This window comes from Homo sapiens, chromosome 1 (genome assembly GCF_000001405.40).
Source record: "Homo sapiens chromosome 1, GRCh38.p14 Primary Assembly".
Taxonomy (NCBI): domain Eukaryota; kingdom Metazoa; phylum Chordata; class Mammalia; order Primates; family Hominidae; genus Homo; species Homo sapiens.
In genome coordinates, this window is record NC_000001.11 from 13,068,475 (window position 1) to 13,078,532 (window position 10,058).

A 10,058-nucleotide genomic window follows, 5' to 3' on the forward strand; every position below is an offset into this window, starting at 1 on the left:
ATATGTGATATGAATGGACATCTGATTCAATCCATTAATCTGGGGAGAGCCAAAAACCCAATCAGGATTAACTGGCTGGAGCTTCAGAAATGCAATCAGATATCACTTTTTGATTGGAAGCTAGCAGCGGATACGTGGAGGGGCGTGGGTGGGAGTTGTGATTAGAAAGGTCAATAAAAGCTTCTAAAGACCCACAGGAGAGACCCAAAGTCTTCAAGCCTGGAGTACCTGCCTGGTTCTTCCTGAGGTCTGAGCACCTTCTAGACTACATCCAGATCTGGTAAGTCACTAATTTCTGTAAGGACACTCCCATCTGACCTACAGTCAGCTGGTCTGGGATGTTGACACTGCAGCCTACGATGGCACAGAAGTGTATCCTGTCTTTTTTTTTTTATATGAACAATTTAAAGCTTGAATGTTTTCTTCTAAATACAGCTCTGTCTTTATTTCAAAAAAGTTGATCGTTCTTTGGTTGATGTCGTTTCAAAATTCTTGAAGGGAGCAGTGACTCATGCCTTTAACCCCAACACTTTGGGAGGCCAAAGTGGGAGGATCATTTCAGCCCAGGGGTTTGAGACCAACCTGGGCAACATGACAGAAACCCTCCTCTACACAACGTTATTTTTTTTGTGAGGACGGGGATGGAGTCTCACTGTGTTGCCCAGACTGGAGTGCAGTGGCACGATCTCAACTCACTGCAACCTTTACCTTCCAGGTTCAAGCAATTCTCATGCCTCAGTCTCCATCCTCAGAAGCTGGTGTCAGCCATCTGCCACCATGCCTGGCTAATTTTTGCATTTTTAGTAGAGCGGGTGTTTCACCATGCTGGCCAGGTTGGTCTCCAACACCTGACCTCAAGTGATCCACCTGCCTTGGCCTCCCAAACTGCTGGGATTAGAGCCGTGAGCCACTGGTGCTCGGCCTCTACTTTTTTTTTTTTTTAATTAGCCGGGCATGGTGGCATGCATCTGTAGTCCCAGCTATTTGGGTGACTGGTGTGGGAGAATCACTTTAGCCCAGAAGATTGAGGCTGCAGTGAGCCATGCTCACACCACTGCTGTACTCCAGCCTGGGCAAAAGAGAGAGACCCTGTCCAAAAAACAAAAACAAAATCTTAACAAAAAAGGATCTTCGACCTTAATTTTAAACCAATCACATCCTCTCGGTAATTCTTCCACCTGAATGGAGACATGGGTGTGGGGTGCATGCCTGTAATCCCAGCTACGTGGAAGCCTGAAGCATGAGAATTGCTTGAATCTCAGAGGCGGAGGTTACAATGAGCTGAGATGGCGCCGCTGCACTCCAGCATGGGGCAAAAAGTTAGACTCAGCTTCCCCCACACCAAAAAAATTAGATTATACCACCCAGGTGATCACTGGATACATGAAGATTTCTATTGTGTTTTCTTGGGGACTGTCATCTCTGTCTTTGTAAAACGTTTTAACTCTGAAATATTTCGATAAATTTGATGTGGCCAAGGATCCCTCAACAAAGGTACTTTCAAGTTTTTTCTTTTCTCTAATGTCAGGAAGAGATTCAACCCTTCCCTCTCTCACACTCAGGACTTTGAAGGACACATATTAGTAAAACTCCATGTTTATGGAGTGAATCACTGAATGAGTCCTGGACTTTCACCCTATCCCTAATTCTTTCACTTCGATGGATGAATATCTAACTCAATCAGTAAATCTGGAAGAAAGCCAAAAATCCAATCAGGATTAACTGGGTAGAGTTTAAGAAGTCAAATCAAATGTACAAATGTAGTTCTCTCTCTCTCTTTTTTCTTTTTTTTTTTTTTTTTTTTTGAATCTTGCCTATTTCCCAGGCTGGAGTGCAGTGGTGTATTGTCAATTCACTGCAACCTCTGCCTCCTGGGTTCAAGCGATCCTCCTGCCTCAACCTCCCTGGTAGCTTGGACTATAGGCACAGACCACCGCACCTGGCTAATTTTTGTAATTTTGGTAGAGGTAGGGTTTTACCATGTCGGCCAGGCTTTTCTCAAACTCCTGACCTCAGATAATCCACCTGCCTCTGCCTCCCAAAGTGCTGGGATTACAGGAGTGAGCCACCTCACCTGGCCTTGAATGAATGTATTCTTGACTTCTACCCTATCCCTAACACTGTCAATTTCTTGCTTCATGAAGTGAATATAGATATGTGATATGAATGGACATCTGATTCAATCCATTAATCTGGGGAGAGCCAAAAACCCAATCAGGATTAACTGGCTGGAGCTTCAGAAATGCAATCAGATATCACTTTTTGATTGGAAGCTAGCAGCGGATACGTGGAGGGGCGTGGGTGGGAGTTGTGACTAGAAACGTCAATAAAAGCTTCTAAAGACCCACAGGAGAGACCCAAAGTCTTCAAGCCTGGAGTTCCTGCCTGGTTCTTCCTGAGGTCTGAGCACCTTCTAAACTACATCCAGATCTGGTAAGTCATTAATTTCTGTAAGGACACTCCCATCTGACCTACAGTCAGCTGGTCTGGGATGGTGACAGTGCAGCCTACGATGGCACAGAGCTATATCCTGTCCTTTTTTTTTTTCATATGAACAATTTGAAGCTTTGAATGTTTTCCTCTAAATACAGTTCTGTCTTTATTTCAAAAAAGTTGATTGTGCTTTGGTTTAGGTCATTTCAAAATTCTTGAAGGGAGCAGTGACTCATGCCTTTAACCCCAACACTTTGGGAGGCCAAAGTGGGAGGATCATTTCAGCCCAGGGGTTTGATACCAACCTGGGCAACATGACAAAAACCCTCCTCTACACAACGTTTTTTTTTTTTTGAGGATGGGGATGGAGTCTCGCTGTGTTGCCCAGACTGGAGTGCAGTGGCACGATCTCAACTCACTGTAACCTTTACCTCCCAGGTTCAAGCAATTCTCATGCATCAGTCTCCATACAGAGAAGCTGGTATAACAGTCATCTGAAACCATGCCTGGCTAATTTTTGTATTTTTAGTAGGGGCGGGGGTTTCACCATGCTGGCCAGTTTGGTCTCAAACGCCTGACCTCAAGTGATCCACCTGCCTTGGCCTCCCAAAATGCTGGGATTAGAGCCATGAGCCACTGGTGCTCGGCCTCTACTTTTTTTTTTTTAATTAGCTAGGCATGGTGGCATGCATCTGTAGCCCCAGCTATTTGGGTGGCTGGTGTGGGAGAATCACTTTAGCCCAGAAGATTGAGGATGCAGTGAGCCATGCTCACACCACTGCTGTACTCCAGCCTGGGCAAAAGAGAGAGACCCTGTCCAAAAAACAAAAGCAACATCTTAACAAAAAAGGATCTTTGACCTTAATTTTAAAGCAATCACATCCTCTTCCACCCAAATGGAGACATGAGTGTGGGGGTGCATGCCTGTAATCCCAGCTACGTGGAAGACTGAAGCATGAGAATTGCTTGAATCTTGGAGGCTGAGGTAACAGTGAGCCGAGATGGCACCACTGCACTCCAGCCTGGGCAACGAAGTGAGACTCAGCTCCCTCAACACCAAGAAGAATTATGCCACCCAGGTAATCACTGGATATATGAAGATTACTATTGTGTTTTCTTAGGAACTGTCATCTCTGTCTTTGTAAAACTGTTTTAACTCTGAAATATTTTGAGAAATTTGATGTGGCCAAGGATCCCTCTACAGATACTTTCAAGTTTTCTTTCTTTCTGTCTAATATCAGGAAGAGATTCAACCCTTCCCTGTCTCACACTCAGGACTGTGAAGGACACATATTAGTAAAACTCCACGTTTGTGGAGTGAATCAGTGAATGAGTCTTGGACTTTCACCCTATCCCTAAATCTTTCATTTTGATGGATGAATATCTAATTCAATCAGTTAATCTGGAAGAAAGCCAAAAATCCAATCAGGATTAACTGGGTAGAGATTAAGAAGTCTAATCAAATGTAGCTCTCTCTGTCTCTCTTTTGAATCTAGCCTATTTCCCAGGCTGGAGTGGAGTGGTATAATGTCAGCTCACCGCAACTTCTGCCTCCTGGGTTCAAGTGATCCTCCTGCCTCAGCCTCCCTAGTAGCTTGGACTACAGGCGCAGACCACTGCACCTGGCTAATTTTTGCTGGCTTAGTAGAGGTAGGGTTTTACCATGTTGGCCAGGCTCGTCTTGAACTCCTGATCTCAGATGATCCACCTGCCTTGGCCTCACAAAATGCTCAGATTACGGGTGAGTCACTGCACCCAGCCAAAGTGGTTGATTTTGAATATGTGCGAGAGGTGTGTATTGGAATCATCTATCTTGCGAATGATGCATAACAGTGTCACATAGCTTTCAAAGCTTCTCACTGAAATATTCGATAATAAGGCTGGAGTGGAGGCTCACAACTATAATCCCGGTACTTTGGGAGGCCAAGGGGGGTGGATTGCTTGAGACTAGGAGTTCAAGACCAGCTTGGACAACATAGTGAAATCCACTGTCTTTACAAAAAGTCAAAACATAAAAGATGAGCTGGGTGTGGTGATGCATAACTGTGGTCCCAGCTACTTGGGAGGCTGAGGAGGCTTGGGAGGCTGGGAAGTCAAGGCTGCAGTGAGCCAAGATCCCACCACTGCACTCCAGGCTGGGTAACAGAGCAAGACCCTGTCAGAAAGAGTGAGGGAGAGAGGGAGGGAGAGAGAGAATGAGAGAAGGGATGCAGGGAAAGAAGACAAGAAAGAAAGAAGGGAGAGAGAGGGGGGAAGAAAGAAAGAAGGGAGGGAGAGAGGGAAAGAAGGAAAGAAGAGAGAGAAAGAGAAGGAAACCTTAAATAAAGAAAAGAAAACAAATAGAACCTGTTCTAGGGATGCCCCATGAATGTTCCCAACAAGCTTATTTGTAGGAACTGAAATTGTGGGCATGTAGGCTTGTGACACTCCCTTTCCCATTGTTTTAGAACCTTGAGTAATTAGTAATTTCCCCCAATGGTCGGAGGGGTTTGCTTTCAGGTTCCTCCACACTCACTAGTCACTGGATGGAGCACTGGATAGAAAGGAAGGGCTAGTTGTGGCCCTGCCTCCTCACTGCTTCGGAGACGCTCATGCTGATGCAGCAGAGGCAGAATGCTGGCTTAATGGCCACTGAGTACTGAGTAGAATTGGAGTAAACTGAGGGCTGTTTCACCATTGCCAAAGCAGTGACTTTGGCCCTGGGAGAAGATGAGATTGCATGGGCTTGTCCTGAGAGTGATGCCTTTTCTCTGGGTTTGTCCTCTGGAAGTTTTCCCTGCAGATTCATGAAGATGAGCATCCGGACTCCACCCAGACTCCTGGAGCTGGCGGGGCGGAGCGTGCTGAGGGACCAAGCCTTGGCCATGTCCACCCTGGAGGAGCTGCCCACAGAACTTTTCCCCCCACTGTTCATGGAGGCCTTCAGCAGGAGACGCTGTGAGGCCCTGAAGCTGATGGTACAGGCCTGGCCCTTCCGCCGCCTCCCTCTGAGGCCTCTGATAAAGATGCCTTGTCTGGAGACCTTCCAAGCTGTGCTCAATGGGCTTGATGCACTGCTTACCCACGGGGTTCGTCCCAGGTGAGGTGGGCCAGGTGGGCTGGTGGGGAGGGCCCAGGTGTCCAACCGAAGGAACAGCTGGGTCATGAGAAGTGAGGAGGCCCAAGGGGCGATGGTGGTGGTGAGGAAGCTGAGAGGCCTTGGCCATTCACCAGCTCCTCAGGGAAAGCACTGCTGACCATGCCAGGTCCATGGAGGTAACAGGAACCTCTCCCCTAATGGCACTGAAAGCCAGCATGAAAAGTGAGAACTGGGCCGGGCACGGTGGCTCACAATGTATTCCCAGCACATTGGGAGGCCGAGGTCAAGAGTTGGAGGCCAGCCTGTCCAACATGGTAAACCCCAACTCTACTAAAAATACTAAAATTAGCTGGGCATGGTGCTGGGCTCCTGTAATCCCAGCTACTTGCAAGGTTGAGGCAGGAGAATCCTTTGAACCGGGGAAGCAGAGGTTGCAGTGAGGTGACATCACACCACTGCACTCCAGCCTGGGTGACAGAAGGAGACTTGGTCTCAAAAAAAAAAAAAAAAAAAAAAATGTGAAAGTGGGCAGGATCCAAGGGGAAAACAGGGTGGAGAAATGTCAGAGACAGGGACAAGAAGCAGGGAGGGGAGGAGCTGCTATCCAGGATGTGGAGTTTAAGTTCAGAAATGAGTTCTGAAATTCTCAGTCTCACCTCTATTTTCCCACAGGAGGTGGAAACTTCAAGTGCTGGATTTACAGGATGTCTGTGAGAACTTCTGGATGGTTTGGTCTGAAGCTATGGCCCGTGGGTGCTTCCTCAATGCCAAGAGGAACAAAAAACCAGTGCAGGACTGTCCAAGGATGAGAGGACGGCAGCCCTTGACTGTGTTCGTAGAACTTTGGCTCAAGAACAGGACTCTGGATGAACACCTCACCTGCCTCCTTCTATGGGTCAAGCAGAGGAAAGATTTACTACACCTGTGCTGTAAGAAGCTGAAAATTTTGGGAATGCCCTTCCGCAATATCAGAAGCATCCTGAAAATGGTGAACCTAGACTGTATCCAGGAGGTGGAAGTGAATTGCAAGTGGGTACTGCCCATCCTGACACAGTTTACCCCATACCTGGGCCACATGAGGAATCTTCAGAAGCTCGTTCTCTCCCACATGGATGTCTCTCGCTACGTTTCCCCAGAGCAGAAGAAGGAGATTGTTACCCAGTTCACCACTCAGTTCCTCAAGCTGCACTGCCTCCAAAAGCTTTATATGAACTCTGTTTCTTTCCTCGAAGGCCACCTGGACCAGCTGCTCAGGTGAGGGAGGGTGGTGAGCTTTCTCTGCAGACCACAGCAGAGCCTGTTTCACTAAACGCTAGTGGGCATCTACTGTGAGCCAGCCTATGAGGATGAAACAGTGAAGGGGACACTAGAATGTCCATACATTGTCCTGTTGGCGGCCCTGTCCTGAAATGGGTATCATGCAACCATCCCAATAGAGGCAGAGGGATCAGCTAGGGGAGATGCTATAGAGAGGTTGCCATACTAGGAAGCTAGCTACTGGGGGGTTCAGATCTAGTGAGGGTGCCTTTCTGAATTCTTCCTGAGGACGTGTGTCTAAGTTAAGATGATGAAAAATAGGCCAGGGACGGTGGCTCATGCCTGTAATCCTATCACTTTGGGAGTCTGAGGCAAGAGGATAGCTTGAGCCTAGGAGTTTAAGACCAGTCTGGGTAACATCCCAAGACCCCTGTCAGAAATGAAGAAATAAAAGTAAAAACAAACAAGATAACTTTTTTTTTTTCTGAGATGGATTTTCACTATGATCGTCCAGGCTAGAGTGCAGTTGTGACATCTCAGCTCGCAGCAACTTCTGCCTCCCAGGTTCAAGCGATTCTCCTGCCTCAGCCTCCTCAGTGCCTGGGATTACAGGCGTGGGCCACCACACCTGGCTAATTTTTATATTTTAAGTAGAGACAGGGTTTCACCATGTTGGCCAGGATATTCTCCAACTCCTGACTTCAGGTGATCCGCCCACCTTGGACTCCCAAAGTGCTGGGATTATAGGCGAGAGCTACCACGCCCAGCCAACAAGATAATTTTTAAGAAGATGATGGGAAGTAGGGAAGTGAAGTGGTCACTGAAGAGGGGAATGCTCAGCAAATCTGCACATGTCAGAAAATCAGCTTTGTGCCCCACAGTTCCGTGAACATGAATGATCCCATCTCTAATTCCCTGTTGTAAAAGTTTCTTTTGAGCTCCAGGTAAATTAATTACCTAGGAAATGTATGATTCTGAAACAGAGGGTCAGGGAGCAGGCACAAAGAATGGTGAAAGTGATAGATGGTTTGCTGATGATACAGGCGTGTCAGGGACGCCTGCAGCCCGCCCACCCCAGCTGATGTTGCAGGATCCTGTCTGGGTTTGTCCTTTATGCCTGCATCTCCACTGGGCTTCTGTGGCCCAGGGATGTGGTTTTCTGCCTGACAGATGAGGAAAGGGAGCTTTAGGGATTCTGTGAACTTGATCCATTCCTATAAATGATGGTGAAATGACTCAGCCTCAAATGGAATTATTTTTTCTCCTTTTTTTTTTTTAATGCGGAGTCTCTCTCTGTCACCCAGGCTGGAGTGTAGTGGCATGATCTCTGCTCACTGCAACCTACACCTCCTGGGTTCAAGCGATTCTTCTGCCTCAGCTTCCCAAGTAGCTGGAATTGCAGGCTCCCGCCACCACAGCTGGCTAATTTTTGGATTTTTAGTAGAGAGGAGGTTTTGCCATGTTCAGCAGGCTGGTCTCAAACTCCTGATCTCAAGGAATCCACCAGTCTCAGCCTCCCAAAGTTCTGGGATTACAGGTGTGAGTTACTGGGCCGGGCCTAAAGTGGAATTGACCTCGGTGGCAAAGCTCTTCATCACACATCATCCGAAGTGTTGACCATCCGGCCATGAGAATGATCCTGGACTTGGGCAAAATGGTCTCCATCCATTACCTTGAAGCCATTCCCCACCACCCTCCACTCACCCCTATGATTCCCCAGAATTAACTTCTTGCTCTCTCTCCCCAGCTGTCTGAAGACCTCGTTAAAGGTCCTCACAATAACTAACTGTGTGCTTTTGGAATCAGACTTGAAGCATCTATCCCAGTGCCCGAGTATCAGTCAACTAAAGACCCTGGACCTGAGTGGCATCAGACTGACCAATTACAGTCTTGTGCCTCTCCAAATTCTCCTAGAAAAAGTTGCAGCCACCCTTGAGTACCTGGATTTAGATGACTGTGGCATCATAGACTCCCAAGTCAACGCCATCCTGCCTGCCCTGAGCCGCTGCTTTGAGCTCAACACCTTCAGCTTCTGTGGAAATCCCATCTCCATGGCCACCCTGGAGAACCTGCTGAGCCACACAATCATACTCAAAAACTTATGCCTGGAGCTGTATCCTGCCCCACGGGAGAGTTATGGTGCTGATGGTACTCTCTGCTGGAGCAGATTTACTCAGATTAGGGCTGAGCTGATGAAGAGAGTTAGGGACTTAAGGCACCCCAAGAGGATCTTGTTCGGTACTGACTACTGCCCTGACTGTGGCAACAGGTCATTTTATGACCTGGAGGCAGATCAATACTGCTGTTGAATGCCTGCCTATTTGGATGGGTATGTCAAACGCTTTCTTCTGGACACTTGGAAACTAAAACCTAGGTCTTAGGTACATCCTAAAGGGAGCACAGAACCCATCGTTTCACACATGGGCTCTGAAAGTGGGAAAGGAATGCTGATCAAGCAGGGGCAGGACTTGGGGGAAATGTTGCCATGGATTCGATGGGACTTTGGGAACGTGTATCCTGTAGAGTCGAAAATGGGAATCTGAATGTCTAGAGTGGAATTCAGGCTTGAGAATACATGAGGGAGTTACTCTTGCATGGATGGTTGTAAAGAAACAATCAGAAATAAAGGAAAACTGAGCAGAATCTGTCTGGTGCCCTCTATTATTAAGTAACCTGTTTTCCAGTTTAAGCCTCAGGAATCTTCAGTTATTGATGGAAAAAACAAAAGGCACTGACTGAGTTGTCCAATCAATAAGATGCAGCCCAAGAAAATCAAGGCATTTAAATGAAATTTGGTTATTGTAATCAGTTTCCTCCCATTCTTTTATTGGAGACAGAGTTTCACTCTTGTTGCCCAGGCTGGAGTTTAGAGTGCAATGGTGCCATCTCAGCTGACTGCAACCTCCACCTGGGGTTTAAATGATTCTCCTGCCTCAGCCTCCCAAGTAGCTGGGATTACTGGCATGCACCACCGTGCCCAGCTAATTTGTGTATGTTTAGTAGAGACAGGGTTTCCTCACTATGTTGGTCAGGCTGGTCTCAAACTCCTGACTTTGGGTGATTCATGCAAGTAGGCCTACCAAAATGCTGGGATTACAGGTGTGAGCCACTGTGTCAGGCTTTTGCTTTTGTTTTTGTTTTTTAAAGGTCTTCTGTCACTCAGGCTACAGTGCAGTGGCACAATCATACCTCACTGCAGCCTCAATTTCCTGGGTTCAGGCGATCTTCCCACCTCAGCCTCCTGAGTAGCTAGGACTACAGCTGTGTGAGCCACCACACCTGGATACTT

General features: G+C 47.3%; 1 protein-coding gene across 1 annotated transcript; it reads left to right on the forward strand.

Annotated features, from left to right (window-relative positions):
• The first annotated feature begins 2,299 nt into the window (after nucleotides 1-2,299).
• Nucleotides 2,300-9,410, forward strand: PRAMEF25 (PRAME family member 25). Its single transcript, NM_001310134.3, has 4 exons — nucleotides 2,300-2,433; nucleotides 5,204-5,512; nucleotides 6,185-6,766; nucleotides 8,517-9,410. Exons 2-4 carry the CDS (start codon nucleotides 5,220-5,222, stop codon nucleotides 9,076-9,078), a joined length of 1,437 nt encoding a protein of 478 aa, NP_001297063.1. The 5' UTR covers nucleotides 2,300-2,433; nucleotides 5,204-5,219; the 3' UTR covers nucleotides 9,079-9,410.
• The last annotated feature ends 648 nt before the right edge of the window (nucleotides 9,411-10,058 follow it).

What these genes read in the sequence shown, in the direction of transcription:
- PRAMEF25 (NM_001310134.3), top strand. Translation starts at nt 5,220, where the DNA reads ATGAAGATGAGCATCCGGACTCCACCCAGACTCCTGGAGCTGGCGGGG. An exon ending in ACCCACGGGGTTCGTCCCAG is followed by an intron (nt 5,513 to 6,184) that starts GTGAGGTGGGCC and finishes ATTTTCCCACAG; the next exon opens with GAGGTGGAAACTTCAAGTGC. An exon ending in CACCTGGACCAGCTGCTCAG is followed by an intron (nt 6,767 to 8,516) that starts GTGAGGGAGGGT and finishes CTCTCTCCCCAG; the next exon opens with CTGTCTGAAGACCTCGTTAA.